Source organism: Homo sapiens, chromosome 7, assembly GCF_000001405.40.
Source record: "Homo sapiens chromosome 7, GRCh38.p14 Primary Assembly".
Lineage (NCBI taxonomy): Eukaryota > Metazoa > Chordata > Mammalia > Primates > Hominidae > Homo > Homo sapiens.
The window spans coordinates 115,137,572-115,160,329 of NC_000007.14; the positions used below are offsets into that span (position 1 = coordinate 115,137,572).

Below are 22,758 nucleotides of genomic sequence, written 5' to 3' on the forward strand. Positions count from 1 at the left end.
CATTAAGGTACACTTCACTGAATTTTTACAAACCAAACACACCCATGTAATCAGCATCACGATTAAGAAATAAAACGTTGTGAGCATCTCAGATGTTCTTGTGTGTCCTTCCAGTGACTACCCCTAACAACAGCATCCTGATGTCTCACTGGCCCTGGTTTTGACTGCATTTCTGAAATGTTTACTAACTCTTTAAGTATATGCTGCTTCATTTGATCCTTACAACAACACTGGGAGATTGGTAGGGCCAGGTAGTCAATCAGGTAAACACTGTTACTTTTATTCAATACCATCTTTTGCTGCTTTCATGATGACATTTGGGCAAGGTATTTTGTGAGTAACCTAAAGAAAATCCAACTGAAAATCTCCTAACTTACTGAAGTGACAAAATTTGAGACATTATGTAACAAATAAAACCCAACCCATGGAAAATACCTATTATTTCCAGCAGTGGGAGACTCAACTGTTGCTAAACTTCTGTTTTCCCCAGGCTTTTATTCATGTTGCTTGGTTAAAGGGCTATTATTATTAGAAGTGAAGAATCCAGTTGTTAGAACATTTGCTGTGGCTTTACGCTTGAATCTCAAAAGTTTGTATATTAGTGAGATACTGCAATGACTGTGAAAATACATAAAGCATTATTTTTATGCTTAGCATGAGACATGTAATACTTCCATTTGGGGAATTTATTTTGAAGGAAATGGCTCATTAGACCAGAAAATGCCTATTTTGTTTTCATTTCATTTTTTTAAAGATGTCTGTGCATGTTTGCATAGCAGGTAGAGTTAAAAACCCACTGTAGCAGGATTTCAGCTGTTTTTTCTTCCCTTTCAAAAACAATAACAGAAAGGGAAATTTATGTATAATATACCATAATTTACTCAAATTTAATGAATGCATACAATTTTTCATCCTCAAGTATTAATTATAGAGGAATTTACTGTAATTTATGATGCATTAGAAGATTATTTTTTGAAGAGACCTTAGCCAAAGCCAATGGCAACTCTAGCTCTCATTTATAATAATGGAGTAACTGCATTGAAACTTGACTTTTTCATTCTAATCATGTAATTGGAAAATAACATTTAACATACCCCCAAACATAATGAACTCATTAAAAGGCTTTTTATTTGTTATTTTACAATGGTTTAAAATAATTACAATGTTTTAAACAAAATTTTAGCCAGTATTTTTCTTAGTCCTTTATAGTCTAACAAATAGTGGTGGAGTATATAGCAACTTGCATGGTATTGTGTCTCAATAATTAATAGATTTTAAATTTTTTATTTCAAAGTTTTTGGGCTACAGTGGATTTTGGTTACATGGAGAAGTTTTTTAGTGGTGATGTCTGAGATTTTGGTGCACCTGTCACCTGAGCAGTGTACACTGTACCCAATATGTAGTCTTTTATCCCTCACTACCCTGCTCCCCTCCCCCCAACAAGTCCCCAAAATTCATTATATCATTCTTATGCCTTTGTGTCCTCATAGCTTAGCTCCCACTTACAAGTGAGAACATATAATATTTGGTTTTCCATTCCTGAGTTACTTCACTTAGGATAATGGCCCATTTTTCTCTTTTACATAAAAGAAAACCAAGTTTTCTCAAGGTTGGTATAAAGAAGTAGACCAGTTATTGAATAGTGGAAGGTAGATTTTATGGTCTTCTTTTGGGGGATTTTTTCCATATTTACCCCTACTCTACTCCTAACTCTAACTCTTATCCTAATTTTGTCCTGAGAAGAGGGTGTAGTGTTGTTCTGGGTATTCCACTCTGATTCAACTGTGAACGTGTAATCTTTACCTTTATAACCTGCAGTGCAGTTGAAATCAGGCAGTCAGACAGAACTTTATTAAAGGATAACAAAATGGAAATAATTTTTTTTTAAATAGCATGAACTAGACTATTTGGCTTCTGGGAAAGAACATATTTTCAGCTTGTATTTTCTGACAAGGATACCACAGCTCTTTTGTAGCTCCCTATATGCCTGTCCCTAAATGACGGAAGACATATTTGACCACTGCTTCGTGGAAACACCTTTACAAACATCTAGAACTCTCAAAGTCAATAGAACAATCTAGAGGCAGAAATAAAGCTGCCTCTTTTTGCTTTCACATTTCTTGTTTAAAGACTTTTTTCTTGGTGATTAATTGACAGAGGACCCCTCAGGAGAGAACTCACCTTCCATAGAAGCAGGCTCATGACTTGCAGCCTCCACAGGAGAACCATTTAATAATCTCATCCCAAACCTCCATAAACATACACATTGTGCACATATGTAGAAGAGTTTTGTATTTTTGACCCATGTGGGAAATCCTTTCATTTCTGTATCACAGTGAGATACCCATATTTCTTGCTATCTGTGCAGAAAAAGGAGGGATTCTGTCATAGTGAGGAGGGAAAATTGTTTTTTATTCCAGCCAGAAAAAGATCAACTAAAGACAGATCAACTAAAATCTTGACTAATGTTTGTATAGCTATGCAACATAGTCATCTTTGGTCCCTTCCAAACCATGGGACTTGACACATTGCACCAACTTTCTCCCTTTTCTGAGGCTCCACTCTGATGAAGGTGCTTCGTGTACTCTGCTTCATGGGAGATGGGGATTTTTCTGTGATCAGGTTTTTTACCAGCTTTGGAGGGGGTGCAGGGTATGCTCTGTCTTCTTAGATAAACATAGTGTTAATTAATCTTTTATATGCCATTTATAGACACCCAACTTAACCAGAGTAAGGAAGAAGGAATTGGTTTATGTAGCCAGGAAATATATTAAGATAGTTGTTCTTTCAAAGATTGATATGGTTAGTTAGGCTTTTTGTCCCACCCAAATCTCATCTTGAATTGTAATCCCCATAATCCCCGCATGTCAAGGGACAGTGCAGGTGGAGGTAATTGAATCATGGGGGCGGTTTCCCTCATGCTGTTCCTGCGATAATGAGTGAGTTCTCACGAGATCTGGTGGTTTTATAAGGGGCTCTTCCCCGTTCGTTTGGCACTCGTTTTTCCTGCTGCTTTGTGAAGAAGGTGTCTTGCTTCCCCTTCCCGTTCTCCTTCCCCTTCCACGATGATTCTAAGTTTCCTGAGGCCTCTCCAGCCATACTGAACTGTGAGTCAATTAAATCTCTTTCCTTTATAAATTGCCCATTCTCGGGTATTTCGTCATAACAACAGGAAAACGGACTAATACAAAGATGAATATTCAATAAGGACTGGAACCAGGAATCCAGTACTACCTGATTTAGTACTACCTGTTCGTTCATCTCCCATCTCTGCAGCTCTCTGCTTGGTTGCACTCTCTATATAGTCTCTCTTAGCTCTCCTGGTAAAAAGGTTATTTGCCTAAATTTTCATTTACTTATTCTAGGACAGTACTGTCAGTTTTGCTTGTCATGGCCTACGTCTTGGAACAATCACTGCTGAGGGTCAGTTCCAAACACATGGGAGAAGCTCTGGGGCCAGAAAAAGAAGAGGAAGGTTGAGGAATTTTGCTGGTTGACAAAAAAAGAGAAAATCTTTAATAACTTTTCAGAAAGCAAAACCAAAATTCACTACAATAGAGACTAAATATTTGTTCCCCTGAAGATTGATTCCCTTTTGTCTTTCCCCCAAGTACTTTAAATTCAGAAATTAATTGCTTAAAACAGCTAGTTTGGCAACAGAATAGGAGCAAAACAAATGAATAAAAATGGACATAGACTGGCTATTTCTATCAGGGAGAAATGGAGGAAATCATTTATTTTGACCATCCTAATAATTGCTATAGAAAGTAACATGATTGATTTAATGGTAATATTGAGTTAGGATTGAGTAACAAGGTGGCCTAAATATAGAGAATAATCATGCTGTGACCCAGCTCACCTGTGTTGTGGAGCGTATGCTACTTTGGGGAAAGGGATCTTCAGGTGTTGTAGTTTTACGCATTTAATCTGGTAGAAAAGGACCTCCAGGTGGTATACTTTTATGCATTTAATCTGGGGAAAAGGGATCACAGCTGGTATACTTTTCCATCAGGTTCAAGCATTCGGGAATGCAGGAGAGAACCTTCCCCTCAAAATTTGTTACTGATAATCAAAGGAAACAGATATACTTCTGGATTCTTTTGTGATATCCCTAGAGAGCTGTCGCTATTGACATATACTATTTTTATTAAACCTCAACCTATTGAGGCCACTGATATTTTGTGAGAAGTAATGCCCACTAATTTCAAACATTACTTTAGAGAGGAAACAGACCAATTTACGTAAAATAATTCACAGAAAGCCAATTAGCTTACAACTGTTTTGCGGAAAGCCAATTTGCCAAATAACCAATTTGCCTAAAACTAATTTGCTAAAAATCAATTTACTGAATGACTTATTCTCCAAATTATTGAGGATTAAAAATAATTTTTGGTTTCGCCACTGTTCCCACTTCTGCCAGTACCCTTTATAGCCACAGTTGCCCAGATGGGGTGTTTGTCTCTAGGGGTAAAACAGCTACAAACTGTGCCAAGACCTGTTCCAAGGTATTACATTTTCAATTTTAGAGAAAAGGAAACTGAGGCTTAGATAATTTAATTAACTTGCTTATTTAAGTAAATTATGAATCTAGACTATTAAGTACAGAAGTTTTTCTGGCTCCAAAGCATCTGCTGCTGTCAGCCATTGTGTCATGCATTGCTTGATCATCTGTAGTGTGTTGAATACTGTGACCGTATTGGAGAATTAGCTAAGGAAAAATAAGTCCTTAAAAACCAAAAGCTTTAATGAAAAGAAATGAGATAAATCAGAAAACATAAAACCAGTGTATTATCTAACACTCTGTGAGGAAATGGGATATTTGGATTGGTTAAATATTCTGTTTAAAATAATTACATATATTATACATTGGTAGAGATATCGAAATATGATAACATAAAAATACACAGTTCTACATCTTTATGGGAAAGAATGAAACTTTAGTATTTATTTTAGGTTGATTTGGAAGACTGCTGAGCTTGGAGTCATTATTTGGATCAAGAGGAGGTCAGATTCAGAGTTTACTTTGAGCCAAGGTCCAAAACGTAGTTAAAATATTGAGAGAAGAAAGTTATAAATTCATTTGAGAAATTTTATCAGCTATCAAACAAAATCATTACTAACAAAACTTTTGGGAATAACTCCCAGAAGCTGGGGTAGGGAGGGTACCATTACTTTGAATTAGCCCATTGTCAGAATGGCATCTTCCAGTGGTTGGGAGTGGTTATTGTCTTTTCTCGCAGAGTAAGAGCCTAAGGTACAGTTCAATGACCTCAGACAACAGTGACACTGAGGCTGATATGATACAGGTCTGATGGGCTGAGGCATCCTTGAGCCTAAGAAAACTGTGTCATTTTTCAACAGTAACTACAGTAGAACAAAAAGTCTATTTACATACTCAGATTTAATGCCTGTTGCTATGGAAAGTAACATGATTGATTTGATGGTAATATTGAGTTAGGATTGAGTAACAAGGTGGCCTAAATATAGAGAATAATCATGCTGTGACCCAGCTCACCTGTTTTGTGGAGCGTATGCTACTTTGGGGAAAGGGCTTCAGGTGTTGTAGTTTTACGCATTTAAGCTGGTAGAAAAGGACCTCCAGGTGGTATACTTTTAGGCATTTAATCTGGGGAAAAGAGATCACAGCTGATATACTTTTCCATCAGGTTCTGGGAATATCCTTCTTTTGCAAGGGAGGATATATTCTGGCTAAGTGTTTACTAGCTCTTTAAGAAAAAGAGAATTTTAGAAACTGTCTTCTGGTATTTAAATGGGAAACAGGACTTCTGTACTATATATTGTACTGCATATATTGCACTCTGTGATACCTTTGAATGAATTAGAAAATGAAGCACCTTTGAGGGATATGTGCAATTTGGCCAGTGAAATCTGGGCTGCACTCAGCTCCCCTGGTTTCTTGGCCGAGTGTCTTTGTACAGAGCACTGTCCTGTACATGTTTTTGAGTACTGATCAACCATGTTTTTCCTTTCCTATGCCCACATTGTGACCAACAAAATTACCACACTAATTACAATCTAGTTTCTAAAAGTACTCTCTTCCAAGTCAATTGTATATGCTTCCCAAATATTTTATAATATTATTAAGTTCTAATTGCTTTTGAATTGCTGATTGCTGTTCTTTCTTAGTTATTCATATTTATTTTAAATAAATTTATTTTATAGCATATTGATGTAAAAATGACCTATGATCACTATGTTTAAGAAGTACAGTAAGTCAGAAAATGTAATCAGAAAATGTAATACCAATATATTTCTAACACTCTGCGAGGGGATGAGATATTTAGATTCAGCCACACTAATTACAATCTAGTTACAATCTAAAAGAAAAAAGAAAGGTATCTCCCAGCCTGCATTTTCATCTTCTAGAAACAGCTACTGCAGGACTAGTCACTAGGGGCTAAATAATTTGCCGAAGTTCTAATCATCAATAAGCAAGGGAGACAGGATGGGGTTGGCCCTTTAACTTAGGGACCTGCTTTCTAAAACACTACACTTCTTCTTAAGCATTTTCAATCTCTCCATTGTTTCCTTTGGATTTTTCTCAGTTAGTGCCACAGAAAAATTGCATCTCTCTTTTTATTCTCTCTCCCTTTTGCTAGTTGGAAATCCCATATGATCCCGGTCAAGTCAAGTGAGTACAAGAATAGAGCTAATGATATGTCTTCATTAAATAAAATTAAAGTTTTACCTTTTGTAGTGAAATTAGACAATATCGGGAAGCAATGACATCAACCCTTAAAATATCTTGGGTCCTCTTCAGAATCTATAATGACATCTTCTACTGCCTCTTCCTCTTATAATTAAAAATTTAATTTAATTTACCTTAAGCACCAATGTTCAAGGGAAATTTCTTATTAAATTTTATTGTACTTCTTATTTTCCAAATGTATAGCAACTTTTACCTCACTTTATATGAATGAATTTGGATATTGCTTCAAACTTCTTTCTTAAGCTCAAATACCTCTTTGGAGTTTATGTGCATAAAGTATGGGATAGAGTCATAAAAGCAGCTTTATTTCTATGTAGTTGATTGATTGGTAGAAGAAGTTTATTGCACTGCAGTCAGCATTATAAGCGTTACTGGACTATATTGCACTTAAATGCTTTCTCTGTGTGGGCTCTTTTATGTCTTTATGTATTTAATTTTATTTATTGCATTTCAGCTTTCTACTCCATGGCATGTCGATTTACAATATAGACTGTTGACTTATTTTAATATAAATTTAATAAATTTTAATAAAATTTTGTTATATATTTGGACATGGGATGTGAAAAACTTTTGTAGTGACAAACACTATTTCTGTTTTTGCCAAAACAGAGATAGTTTTGACAAAGTGACATAATCCCTATTTTACAGACTTTATTTATGATGGATATTTAATAAGTTTTACTAACTTTTCGAAAAATTTTCAGAGTGATAAATTTTCACAGAAAGTAGGGGTAAAAGCTTCTGTTCAACTCTGTCCCTGACTCAGATCGCCTCTAGCTTTTGCTTTCCTGTAGCAGAATTGAGAAAGGTGGGACCCCAGAAATCCTGGTCTTAGAAGAGCTGTGACCTCTCCCTAAAGAAAGAATGCGCTCTATAAACGAATACAGCTTACCACTCTACATTTACTATACAGTAGGGAATATGAGAAAATATAATAATAACTATAGTGCTTTAAGATTAAATGTGAGCTTAACCTTAATTAATATTTACAATATTTAAGTACTGGAGTTTTCTTAAAGCCACTCATTTGTTTCCATAGATTTCACTTTTTTCTTTTATACACCATATTTTATGTGTTTATGCATTTTTAACTTGTATAAATGGCATGATAGTTTAGACCTTTTATTTTCTTTTTTCTTTTGCTTAAACTATGTTTTTAAGATCTTTCCATGTTTATTTGTATTTCTAGTTCATTGCTTCTAAGCAAGGCATAATATTTTATGGTATGCATTTACCATACTTTACTTATGTGTTTTTAGGCAACCGTGTGAGTGATTCTTTCTGGATATACTCTGGAGACGAATTACTAGGTCATTGGTTACACCACTCTGATTTTTACTAAATACTGCCAGATTGTTCTCCAGAATGACTGTGCTAATTTCATTTCTACATTTTGGCTAACTCTTGGTATTACTCAACTTCTAATTTTTGTGACTCTGATGGATATAAAGGGGTATTTTAATTTGAACTTTTTTCTAGTATTAGGTTGAGCAATTCTTCAATATTTGTTCAGCTATTTGCATTCCAATCTGAATTCCTCTTCCTGTCTTTTGCTCATTTTTTTTTTTTCTATCAGGCTTCCAGTCTTTTCCTTGACTTCTTGTAAGAAACTCTTTTGGGGTGCCAATATTAATTCCTAATTAACTCTTGGTTTTGAAAAGTTCTTCCACCCTCCTGGTCTGTCAACCATTAGTCTATGGTAATTTTGACAAACAGAAATTCTAAATTTTGGTTTAATCTTTGCCCTACTGGCCTTTTTGGATCTTAACAAGTCCTTCTTCATTCCAAAGTCACAAAGATTTTTACCCATAATTGCTTTTATTAGCTTCATATTTCCTCCACTAATTTTTCCCATGAAAACTTTATTTTACTAAACTTTAGAGACTATTACATTCTCTCCTCAGAATTCAAATCTGAACACCTACATGATGTAGTAAACCAGCATTTGGGCGGAAAGTAATACGTGACAGGAAACCAGTTTTTCAGGTTTAACCTAAGTTTAGATTAAAAAAACTGGAGTCTGAGGGAGATTTTTTGAATATGTCTGCATAATTCTTTAAACAGGAAGGAAAAAATTGTAAGTGCTCATACCTCTTGACCTGATTCTGTGCCAGTAGCCTGGAGGCAGAAGTAGGTATTTAGTGCATTCAAACAGGTAGCCTTAGAGCAGAGAGATAAATGTTTGTATTTTCTTGGATAATGGAAATACCTTTATGTAGCAGGAGTTTACGTGCATTCCCTGTTGTGTGAATAACAATTTTATTTTTAAACATTTCCATTCCATTCTAGCCCCCTTTCCTTGTGTGCCTTTCACATAACAACTATATATTTTTGAGTTGTTGCAGTGTTAAAGTGGTAGCTTCATGGAAACTCTGAGCATATTTTTTTGCTCCACATTTTTATTTTTTGTGCATTTGTTGTCTCTTTAAGTTCTTAAATTAACCTAACTTATAAATCGAGTCCTATTAGTCTCCATTTATTTTCTATTGCCTGAAATTTGTGTCAAAAAACTCAGAGGATACAGCCCCAGAGGAAACAACCTATTTCCCAATTTTAGATGTTAATTCATTACTAAGCTTCTTGGATCTTAATTTTAATTTTATATTATATTTTGTTGTTTGATCCTACATCTCACCTTAAAAATGTGGTCTGGGAAGAGTGATTACTGGGGGTATTAGCCTATGCCCTGAAGAAAGTATCAAGAATTTATACATACATCGAAAACTTTCACAGTTGATTTGACCATTGTCTTCTGGGGAGTTTGATTCTTTCATGCACCTGCCATTCCTGATATAGCCAGAGCTAAGTAAGCAGAGCCAAGGGAGAGGACTAGAGGGTACTGACATAGCAACCTCCCTAGCCAGCTGTGTGATCACCCCCTTAATCTACAGTCATTTTCCAGCTGTGAGGAAGAAGCTCTACAGCAGCTGCTCAGCACAAAGTGCTCACGTCCAGACTGGCTTAGGCAGGTGGCCGCTTTACTCATCTTCCCTTTTATTTTTTCCTTTTGTAAGCACGGATGTGTGCTCAGATGTGAGGCAGTTGTTCAAAGAACATCCTGGGATGAAAAGCAACTTTCATGCCATTATTAGGACTGAATCTTCAGATTTCATTAATTTAGTAAATATTAATGGCATCACTCAAAAGAAGTGCCCAATACTTACTTGGGTATTTTCTCATAAGGTTACTGTTAGCAAGACTCAAAATTAAATTTTCAAAATATAACTATTCTTATTTTTAAATATACATTTTATGATAATCCTCCTCCTGCCAGGGCTGGCCCTCTAACTAACTTGTATAATTTAAAGGATATAAAAAGGCCATTCTGCTCCTAAATAGTTCACTAGCTTGCTATGAAACCTGAAGTTCCTCCTGAGAGGCACTCTTTTGGTTAAGGCATTTTTTCTAGCCCAATGCACAGGCCCCAATTCTCTTGCAACATAGCAATTATATTGCAACCCTGCTATGGGAGAGCACCATGATGTGAACCGAGGATGGGAAAGGGCATAGGATACGGCTCCTGCCCTTGAGAGGTTTACAGTCTGTTTGGAAAGGCAGGGGACATATATTGAAGGTAAAATAACAAGGCAAGGGAGCATCTATGTAGATCACTACATTTACCTATGTAAATCATTTACATGTATAGGACTTAAAAAATGCTCTGAGGGCTGCTCTTCAGGGAAGGGCTTATGGATGACTGGGTGCTAGAGCCTGATCCTGAAAGAAGGTGGAGTTTGGAAAAGCAGAGAGACAATAACAAATATCCTAGACCAGGAATAAAGAAAGAGAGGATGTGTTCTGGAGCCAGGGAACAGAGTATGGTGATTGGAATGAATGAGTTCATTTAAGAGGTTGAGGACAATGAGATGCCGCGGTTGATGACAAGAGTTTGTGTGACAAGATCCAGTGAGTGGATATTTTTTGACATTGATTTTAGATGTAACATATGAAAAGCCTGACTTAAAAAGTATGTACAAACCAGGCACAGTGGCTCACGCCTGTAATCCCAGCACTTTGGGAGGTTGAGGCAGGTGGATCACCTGAGGTCAGGAATTCAAGACCAGCCTGGCCAACATGGTGAAACCCCATCTCTACTAAAAAGACAAAAACTAGCCAGGCATGGTGGTGGATGCCTGTAATCCCAGCTACTCAGGAGGCTGAGGCAGGAGAATCACTTGAACCCGGGAGATGGAGGTTGCAGTGAGCTGAGATCACGCCATTGCACTCCAGCCTGGGCAACAAGAGTGAAAACTCCGTTTCAAAAAAAAAAAAAGTACATGCAAATCACAGTTACTTTATTATTTGAGTCTCAAAAAGAATTAACAAAGGCTGGATGACAACGAGGTATCCTCCTAAACCAAATGGTGAACTCATAAAATCTGTTTGATTCCCTGTCATCTTTTTTTCAGAAACCTGATTTATTTTTCTCCTTGCTATCTGCTTTCCTTTCTACTGGAAATGATCTGAATGCCTTTGGGATTGGCCCATTGTCTGGCTATCCATGGTTACCTCATCAGAATATTTTAGGAAACAAATAAACCCGCTATTCCTGCCATCACTGGATATTCAAATACCTTTACTCTGTCCCTAGTACCTTCTTTCCCATACTGCCCTGTGCTTTACCTCGTCTGGCTCCTGTTTCCACTGTACTTCTCTCCTGACACATTTCACTTGGCCAACTGAATCCTGTTACTCCTGCATCCCTAAACCCTTCGTGGAATGTTTCCTTTCCTTCTTAATCATCCTAGACACCTAGCAGTCCCTACAGTTAGAGGTTTCAGGATTGCCCATTTGAGTGAGATTACACATTCTCTCACACCACAAATGCCTTAAGGTGGGATAAGCATCCTCCGTACTTCCCAGTGTCCCATCCAGATCATCCCCCACCCCCACCACAAAAATCAAAATCCTCAGTCCTTTAAAGCTCTTTAGTTGTTTCAACCTATTTATTTATTTATTTATTGAGACGGAGTTTCACTCTTGCCGTCCAGGCTGGAGTGCAATGGCGCGATCTTGCCTCACTGAAACCTCTGCTTTATTGGTTCAAGGGATTCTCGTGCCGCTGCCTCCAGTGTAGCTGGGATTACAGGCATCTGCTACCATGTCCAGCTAATTTTTATATTTGTAGTACAGACAGATTTTCACCATGTTGGCCAGGCTGGTCTCAAGCTCCTGACCTTGGGTGATCTGCTTGCCCCAGCCTCCCAAAGTGCTGGGATTAAAGGCGTGAGAAACCATCGTGCCTGGCCTGCTTCAACCAATTTACAGACTACCAATCACTCAGGTGTTTAGACCTGAGTTACTATTTTCCTTACCAATGCAACTCCTTCCATCATCTGGAATGACGTAAATTTTCGCATCAATGTTTAAATACAATATTTTAGCACGTTTCCTCTTTGTCTTCCTTCTGCTGACTTTTACACCCAGTTTATTTCAGGTACCTCTATAACCACATTCCGGACATCAGAATACTTGTAATGGTTCCTCCTGTTGAGTAATGTGTTGAAACCCTCCCTACTAGATAACAACTTTCTGTCTTTCTAACTTTTCATCAAATTACCCACTCTTTTTTTTCTCTCTCTCTCTCTTTCAGAGACTGAGTCTCACTCTGTTGTCCAGGCTGGAGTGCAGTAGCACAATCATAGCTCACTGCAGCCTCTAAATCCTGGGCTCAAGTGACCCTCTTACCTCAGCTTCCATAGCTGCTAGGACTACAGGCATGCACTATATGTTTTTCCCTGGCTGTTTTTGTTGTTGTTGTTTGTTTTTGAGAGACGAGGTCTTGCTATGTTGCCCAGGCTTTGAACATCTGGCCTCAAGTAATCCATCTACCCCACCCAACCTCCCAAAGTGCTTGGATAGAAGTGTGAGCCATGGTGCCCAGCCCTAACTCTCTTCTTGACCTTCACTTTCTTAGGAATATCTTGTCTTTTTACTCTTCTACTTCTTCCCCATATATCAGTCTACATATACCTTTCATTTCTTCCTTGTTCTTGACTGAATGGGATGGTCCATTTTTGTAACCATCCTGTGTCTGTATCCTCAGAACTCTTGAGCCATTGTCTGTCTTATCCACCAGGTAAAATTTCAACATTGGATCAATCCAGTTATATGCTTTCTTCATAACAACACATCACTTGATGAATGGTTGGAAAGACACAAATACAGATATACAACTGCATGAATTGTTGCCACCACAAATTCTTGGTTTCTAACTTCATCTGGTCATCAGTGTTGCCTGCCATTTCTTCTGGTGCCTTTCTTTAGCTTTCCCTCTATTTCCCCTCGTGCCTATTTCAAATCTTCTCTATGAGCCTCTGACTTCTGCCTCCATCCCTTCTACTCCATAGTCTCATTTTCAGCAGATGACTTTGACTCTAGACTCAGACAAAAATCAAAAACAAATGAACTCTCTAATTTTCCCTTCCTTACTGACTTAACTGCATGAACAACTATAATTTCTTATTTTTCTCCTGTTATATCAGAAACGTAACCTTCTACTTGAGGATTACCCTACCCATTGTGCTTTGAGTCCCATCCTTTTATGTGGTGCTGCTGTTAAGATAATTAATCTTGCATGTTTCTTCAGCCTCTTCACCTAGTCATCATCAGCTCTTCTTTAAATGCCCTACTCAACCCCAGCTCCTGTCCAACTATGGTTCCATCACTCTTCTTTCCCTCACCAGCAGAAGTCTCCAAAGAGTTGGCTGAACTCGATGCATACTTTATTCACTTTCCCATCCACACTCTCTCCCTTTCATTGCGTGAATCTGCTCTTTTACAAACCTGTAGTGGTTCCTTCAGAAATGAGATGTTTCTACATGCTCATCCTCCTTGCCTTCTGTGCAGTACTGACATTTCTGTCTTCTCCCTCTTTCCTGAAATAGTGTTGTCCTCTTATACTGCAATTCTCTTCAAAACAGATTCGCCATTGGATGTGGGAACCTTCAACTTGCCAACGGAATTCATGCCCATCTATCTCCACTCAAGCTTTCCATCTTCCCTGTTGTTGTAGAAGAAGAGGTGTTCCCTCTTTCTTGAGGCTGATGCTTGAATCCACCCAGCCAGAAATCCTCTTTCTCTACCTTGACATAATGCAGCATCATGTCCTAGTGATTCTACCCACTTACCATCTCTTGGATCTGCCCAGCCTCTCCATCCCCACTTTTACTATTCTGGATCAGTTTACCATGATCAGGTCCATACTGGTATTTAACTGTTTCTTCAGAGGCTAATTTATTGCTACACTAATAAAGCTTTAGCTTTAGCATTCTGTATTTCCAAAGGCCTTTGAAAATGCTCTGGTCTTAGAATTTTATGTATTTTTTATTTTATGGAGAGCCTCCAAATTGTCTAAGCCTCAGTAGCCACCACCCCTGGATCTGCCCCCAGGACTACATGTTCTATAGTCTCTGGTATTGTGCTATGCTAACACATTCTCCACACTGCCATTACAGTATTTTTTCCTAATATGACCATCATATAATGCCACTTTCTTGCTTAAAAATTCTTCAATGACTTCTTATTGCTTTTAGATTTCTGGAAAAAATTCCTAAATACAGCTTTTAGATCCATCCTGACCTGACCTCTGCTTTTCTCTCTTGCGTTGCCTTTGACTACACGTTTTAAAAGTTTTTCCATCATTCTCTCATCTCCAGTCATGTAAGCAGAGCAGGTTTTCTCCTTTAAAGATGAGGAAAATAAATCTCAGTGAAGGTAAATCATGTTCCTAAGCTTATGGAAAAAATGACTTATGTGGCTGAGATTTGGGCTGTGTCTTCCGATCCTTTTGAAAATTTATTTTTCCATTATAAAATGTGGCTTCTACATACAAATGTGCTCATTCTGGGATTATTTAGAAAAAAAAAACACAGAAGTCTTTGAGAGTAATTTTTGGGTCATATACTAGGTGATAAGATTTTTATTATTTGATTAGTATGTAAACAAAATTAACTGTTTTTAATGTATAAAACTGATCTAATTATATTTTAGTTACTTCAGTAATGAATATTTTCATAACTATTTGCAGACTGGCATATTTTAGGACCTGTATTTTTCAAAGAGATGCATTTATTAAGGGAATAGTTACAGCGGTGATGCTTCCATTTCTATGTGAGGCCAAACTGATTTCAGAGTAGTAGACCCACCCTCTAAAACCTGACTAATCTTTAGATAGGTTTCTTCCTGACTGTGGCACCTGACTTCCCTCCCTTAAAGTATTTACTTCGAAAAAACTTGCAATTGTAAACTCTTTCTCTGCCCTTTTGAAATGTAAATCTTCTAAAAAAGTATAATTATCAAGAAAGATAAGGTTTTTATCTCTGTCTCTGTGGGAAGGTAGAAGCCTAACTTCCATAAGTGCTGATTAGCAAATACAGGTGCCTAATCAGATTCACAAATCTCGCCTTTAAAGTCTTCCAGTACTTTCCTGTAACTCACCCTAGTGCTTAAAGATTCCCCTACCTTTGGTTTCAGTGGACTTGAGTTCAGTCTCTCTCTCCCATATTGCCATCATATTAGTCTTCCTTGGCATCTTCAATAGCTATCAGTGTAATTTTGCTTTTATGGTGCCTACTTATAAGAGTGTTTCTAAAACTATAGAGAAATGTATTTGTAGGCACAACAGTTACTGATCTTGCTTTTTCTATTTCACTTGCTAAAAAGCATTTATTCTAGGTATTTGCTACTGGTAAACAGAAAAAATGTATAATTCTCAAGGATCATGTGCACCCCTCCAGAGCCCACTGATTTGTTTAGACCCTCCCATCTCTGAACAGATTCTGACATAGCTTATCACTTTAGCTCATGCTCCTCTTTATCCTCTGTGTAGTATAGATTATTTTCTCAACAACATTCTCCTTAGTATATAAGAGCAGACAGCATTGTTTTCCTTGCTGATACTGCCTTATATTATTTTATGACATGGTTTCATTTGTCTCCATAGGGGCAGAATATTGAGAAGGATGAATATAAGGAGAGGCCGTTCAGCCCATCAAGCTCTTTTCCTTTTAATGTACCCTAGAGAACATTTAATTGCTTCTTGAATGACCCCCAAGGTCTTCCTAGAATGAGCTTGTTGTCTTCTTTGTGGAGGAGACCATCCCCATTTCATTCGAACTCATTGTGACTTAATTATAGGATACATATAATAAATTGGAGGCAATCAGTAATCCTTAATCAAACAGGGTAAATTTATTTCACATGCAAGACACAATGGGCCCTTGTGAAATAGATGGCACACTTTCATTTACTGAACGATACCCAGATTAATTAACTCACCTGATAGCTGTGGTTTCAATTTCCCAACTCAACTCAAGTCTGTCTTATGGTTGCCCTTCTTTCTTTTTCTTATTCCATGAAACTGATCTTTAATAGACTTTCAGATTCAATGATTATGATTTCTCTCCACATATATTTTCTTGTCATCATATAAAAAAGCGTAAGTTTGTCTACAAACAGCACATAGTTTGCATATGTATTTTATATTACATATGATGTATTATATATGTGCACACACACACACACACACACATGCACACACATACACACACCCCTGCATGGTGGCGCACATTCAGTGGAAAAGATGCCAGACTGTCTTTTTTTTTTTAACGTGGCATTTCTTTAGTTACAACTCTATTACAGATCTGAGTTCACTGGGTCTATTTCCAGAATTTTGCAATAATTTCTTTAAGCCTCCAGCAGTGCCTAATCACTTCCTAGAGCAGAGATTTTAGCTGTTTGGTTTCTGCTGGCTGTTTTCCCTGAAAATTACTGTAAGAAATTTAATTGATTTTTTTTATTTATCTTCTAAAAAGTTGAGGTTTTTATTAAATTTAAGTGTCTGTTTAGTGCCTCTCATTGTGTATCCTGATTACTTTTGGTGACTCAGTGTAACATTTAATAACTGTTAGTTTTCTTTTGAAGAGTTCTTAACCAGGAAACAAGAGTTCTTACAGCTACATAGATAATTAACTTGAAGCTTGTCTGTCTCCTGAGAGACATCAAATATGTAAATGAGGAACTTAAGCCTTAACAAGACATGGTAAGAAAATCACTAAAAGTTTTATCACATGAAGGCTAAAATCCGTGTTTTTTAAAAAAATCAATATGCTTTGAAGAACTAATATATGCTTCTTGCTTAGGATTTGCGAAATTTATGGGCTTTAAATTCTTTTTCAAAGCTGCAGGAGCTAGCCAGATCTGTTAACAAAAAACTGGAGTAGTTTTTAAAAAATGAGGAGAGGAACCACATTTGAATGCTTCACAATGCCTACCATATTATTGAAACTCAACAAATATTTGATAAACTTGTACCAAATTTTTCTTTTTTATTTTACAAATGCCATTAGCTATACCTAACATTCTTTCAAACTATTAATCACACCACCTTTCAGAGCTAACCAATAATTGATATCTTTGGTCTGTTTTTATTAATAAATTAAGAGGGTAGAGCTATTTGTGTTTAATGTTTTAAACTTGATTAACCAACTCTCTTCATTTTTCTGTACATACTTGTATTATAAAATGTAACTCAAGAAAAATATGGACAAAAAGACCCTTTACATTTCTGTGCTCAGTTTTTTTGTTTGCTTGTTTCTTCATTTGTTTGTTTTGAGACAGGGTCTTGCTCTGTTGCCCAGGCTGGAGTGCAGTGATGCTATCATGGCTCCCTGCAGTCTTGACGTCCTGGACTCAAGTAGTTCTCCCACCTCAGCCTCCGAGTAGCTGAGACTACAGGTGTGCACACCCAGCTAATTTTTTTACCTTTTGTAGAAACAGGATTTTGCCATGTTGTCCAGGCTGGTCTCGAACTCCTGAGTTCCAGCAATCTGCCTACCTCGACCTCCCAAAGTGCTGAGACTACAGGCGTGACCCACTGCACTCAGCCTGTGCTCGCTTTTTAATCTGAAAAGAAAACATAAGTTTTAGTTACCTGGATAAAATATTTTTGTTATAATTGATGGATTATATTTCCTGGAGACATACTGGAACTAGTGAATGGAATGGCTGAAGGTGAGAAACTATTTGTAAGTTCTCCCCACAAATAGTTTTCTTGAAGATAGATTTTTAATTTTTAGAAAAGATAAATCATTTGAAGCTTCCAAAGACAATTCACTGGCCTCTCAGTGGGTTATGTACTTCTAACAAACTATACTTGTGATTCATTCCTCAAGTCTTTAGGTGGGTATACAGGTAGAATATTTGGTATTCTAGAGCTGCAGTTAGAAATAACATTGAACATAGGTACAAACATATCCCCTGCTTCAGACTTGGTTAGAAGTTCCTGTGGTTGGTGTTGTGGTATCTGTCTACCAGGGGCTGGCGTCCACTTTGTGTTTTATTTTCTTCTGTCAGAATTTAGTGAGTGCCTCCCATGTCAACAGTGGCAAATCTGATCAAAGGGAAAATGCCCAAATGAGAAAAGGCAGGGGCAACAATAGTGTTTTCTTTACCATATTAAAGCCAAATTCACTTCCATTTTTCCTATCATGCTAGTTTGTTAAATATTGCCAGCATGTGCTTCCTACATTATAGCATTTCTCAGTTTTCCAAAGGATAAGCTATTGCCAAAATTCTAGTCATAATATCAATACAACTTTTAATGACAATTCCTTTTTTTCTTTACGTGTGTCTCAGGAGTCTTATAAGTATGATGCTCTGAAGAGCTCTGAGTGGCCCAGGACCCTGGGGTGGTTATTATGGCCAAGCAGGCACTAAATCACCATAGGGGGTATGAGATATTTCTCAGCTCACAAGAACTTTACAGCCTCACAGGGAGATGAAGTTCAAATTATGCAAATTCACTAGCTTGTATGGCATGCATTTGGTTCCCTCTTGACTTCCAACGTCTCCTCAACATATTTTAGATCTCTTAAATTTATAATAAAAACATATTATGTTGGTATTGGACTTGCGTATTCATAAAGCTTAGTCACATTCAATATCTCACCTGGTCCTTGTAGCATTGCTCTATCACTGGCTACTTATTCATTGGCCCTGTTAACAGAAATCAATTTCCTAACCCATTGAACAAATCATCTAGATAGAAGTAAGTTGAACCAAGTTGCCCTAAAAGCAAGAACAACAAAAAGAACAAGAAAATAGAACTGGCTTGATCTCAGAGCAGTAGTTGTGTAGTAGTTGTATTTTGGCTACATGAATTAATCTAAGAAAGCTTTAATTATCCATTACTTGACGTATAAAAAGCTGGACCAATTATCCTTTAATTCTTCCTTCTTTGGAGTCCCCTCTTCAGAGCCATTCTAGAAAATACATGGTGAATTGGCTCACTCTATCAGAAGAGGAAAAAAAAATGAAGAAAATAAAGACTCGTCTGGCTTACTATTTAATTCATTATATAAAATGTTCCTTTTAATCACATGAATAATTTCCAATTTTGTTATAAATATTTCCAATTAAAACTAAACAAGTGATACTTTTAGGGATAAAAAGGAGTTTATGGTTCAACATTTGGCCTTTTAAAAGATAACTTAATTTTACTTCCTTCAAAGTAAAGGAAAGATTTCAAACCTTTAAATTATTAGAACACTTGGCTTTTGGGAATATAGTAAAAGGATTATTTTTAGTTAAATTACTGGGACCACCCTTAATAATTCATGATAGCTACATCATTCATGACTTAAGATTGCCTTAATTAGAGGAGATTCCATTTCACTTCACTTTTTGCTATTAGCACATATTACTGTTTCAGTTTTCTCTTTAGCATTATTGACATCATAGCCAACTTTTTATGTGCCAGATACATAATTATTATTTATATTTAAATTTATGATATTTAGAAAGTAACACATAATGCAGATATATAAAACATAACAGAAAAAGGTACTTTTTCCTGAAATCCACAGAAATGCATCAATTCTAGGATGTTTGATGTCCTGGTAATTTTAGTTTTATTTAGTTATCAAAACAGGAAGGTGCTTTGTGACTATTTTCTTCAGTTAAGAGATGCTTTACAGAGAATCGTGGCTTTGAAAAAACACAAATTTTAGAATATTTCTGAGAAAGCTTTAATTTGTTCTTTACTGGTTTATAATTGCTGTGAGGATAATTAGGGAATAAAAGCTAACTCCATGCTTAAGAAAACTTGTAGCTGTCATTGACTGTTCTTAGTCTTTTTCCTTGTATTTCTTGTTCAAGGTAATCACTCGCAAAGGTTGTTATATTTTGATAAATGGACAAATAAAATATATTTTCAAATTACTTTTAATATGATCAAGTTCAACTTTAAAAAGTGACTCAATTATTTCTTGACAGAAAAATATAAAGTGGTATAGATTTCAAATTTTAAAAAGATTGCAAAATTTAAAATACAAGAAAATATATTTGGCAAATATTTATTGTTATAGCAATCATTAACTATCAGGTAGTAACTTTGTTTCAGGATTCTAAAAATGGTGAAAGGCAAACAAGAACTTGGTAATTAAGTACCGAATGAACCTATATTTTCAAATGTATTTTGTTGTAGAGAGCCAAGAGAACACTGTGAAGCTATATAGATGTAATCTGGTTTCTTCAGTTTGGTTTCTCATGGATTCTATTTATATACACTCAACATTGAGCATTAGTCAAATAGTATTTTTAAAGCACTATGATTTTAACCAGGGATTTGTTTAATGAGTTTGGTTTTGGATCTTGTTTTGTGTGCAAACATACTATTTTGATTTAATTTTTTCTGACATGATGCCCACTGCACAGTATAAAAAAAGTATAACTGTAGTTTTGTCCTTTATAGCACAGGACAAATAAATGTCAAAATCAAATGGTGGTGTCCCCCAAGGGAAAACACACTTCAGTGATGAAATATTCTTCCTCACTTCCCATTGCTATTCCTCTGAACACCCAGGTGAAGCCGCCTCAGGACCTAATCAAATGCTGCTAATTTGCATATAATAAAAATCCTGCCACGAGATTTTAGAACATTAGGAGGAAAAGTGCATAGTCTCCAAAATGGTAAATTATGAAAATATGTATACATCTATGAATCAATAGCTTATAAATGCTCAGAATAGTTTGACTAGACCCAATGTGTTATGAGCATCAGCTTATGTTGATGTATAAATTGTCAGTTTAATTCTCTGTTTAATAAAAATCTTTGGAAGTGACACGCGACTGTTTCCTATGTTCCTTTAAAATGCTGTGATATTGATAAAATGTCAGACCTCCTCTTGGACATGACGATAACAATCAACTTCACAAAGCAATCATTAAGGTACCTTTATAAAGACAGCTGTTTGAGGAAAAAGGTTTTTCCTGGAAACTATTTGTACTTATAATAGTCCTTTTGTTTTTCAAAAATAACAATTCACACTCAATGTAAGATTTTCTTACCAAAATTATCCCCACCACAAATTATTTTAAAAAGTGTATTTTTAAGTCACCTGAAGTATCTTTTAAATGAATTTTTTGAACCAGGTCCCTGGTTGTCTTGATAATTTCTGCGTTTATCAGGTGGTTAAAAATAAACTTATTTTGCAATATTATTTTTTAATCTATGGAGTGAAACCCTTTTTAAAAAATGCAGTTACCATCAAATTCACAAATACAAGGTTTTCTAAATTTCAGTTCCCTAAGCCTAACATTATACATGTAATTTTGAAAAATCTCACCTAGAAATTACAGAAAACTACCTAGGCATTTGAAATTAAGGCAAAATCCCCCTTCTCTAAAATTGAAATACTCAACTAGTAAAGAAATATACCTGAATTTGGAGATATCTCTGAAGGTTATCCACTATTGAGATACTAATTGTCATTGCATTTGCATAGGACATAGTAAATATGATTACATTTTATGCTTTTAAAGACATGATAAATTACAGAGAGTGATTTGCCATTTGAAATCCATATGGTCAGAAGGAAAAAGGCATAACTTAAACATGAGAAGTTAAAGATAGAAATTTCCTGCCTGGGGTAGAATTGAAGAAGTTACTTAGGGACATTTTGAATTTTTTGAATTAGAGTTTTTGTAAGTACAATTGATTCTCATTTGCCAATGACATTCTATCTGTAGGGAGAAGAACAGACTAATATTTAGCAGTGTGTCAGTGGGCTTCCATGTAACAAATCTCATCATTACAGGAATGTTAGCGTTCTGCAGTTCAAATCATGTTTTCTGAAAAGTATGTAGAATAAGATCTTGTGCAAAAGCAAAAATAACAATCACAACGAGAAGAAAGATTTGTCTCTGTTACCCAGCAGCAAGCTAGTAAAGACTATTATTTTTATTTAATGCAACCATGAGATCACTCTTCCTTAGACACAAGAAATAGAATTTATATACCTGGGGAATGAAGACTCTGTCTTTCCCTTTAGAGAGGAAATAGAGGTAAAAGAAGTGGAGTATACTGAGAGATTTTAATTCTTTATTGGCAAAAACATGCTCAGGGACCTGCCAGTCTACCAGAGCAGACTGGAGTCCCCAGGGGGCAGAGATTGTATTCAATTCATCTTTTTGTTACAGGGCCAGTAGTATAGTACACCCTCCACCAATGAATGAAGTAAACATCAATTGGTCAGACGTCCTCCTTTTTCTAGGCTGAATACTCCTTTTACATGAACTTAAATTATATTTTTATTTATTCAGCAACAGAAAGTACTTAGTGTACACAAGGATTTGAGTATTTCTTGTATTAATCCTATAGCCATCTAGTTTCCTGGGTGGACATTTCTCCTTCAGGCGATCAGTGGCCTGATAGTGTTTGTGTGGTTGCCATCTCTTTTTAACCTTTGCACTGCAAGTGCAGAGCTGAAGGGGCATTCTGAAAAGATGGATACTTTTTTCCTTCCCTTCTCCAAATGAAATGATGGAGTGTAGCTGTTGACACCTGACTTGCTTTCCAAGAATGAATTTATCCAGTGCCATCAATGATCTCCCTCCCACTTTAGGCTGCAAGTAGGCATTCTCTTGTTCTATGCTTCCATAAATTGAAGAAAAGTTTGGAATTCATGAAGGTGCAATCATTTAGAGCAAAGATTCCCCTAGGCCATGTACCAGTTCATGGCCTTTTA

At 36.3% G+C, this 22,758-nt stretch overlaps 1 long non-coding RNA gene across 1 annotated transcript in view; it reads right to left on the bottom strand.

Annotated features, from left to right (window-relative positions):
- The window catches only part of LINC01392 (long intergenic non-protein coding RNA 1392), a 107,757-nt gene that overhangs the window by 13,973 nt on the left and 71,026 nt on the right, over positions 1-22,758 (bottom strand). Inside the window, exon 2 of the long non-coding RNA NR_126407.1 lies at positions 17,495-17,635. This is a non-coding gene — a long non-coding RNA (long intergenic non-protein coding RNA 1392). The remainder of the gene's footprint in view (positions 1-17,494; positions 17,636-22,758) is intronic.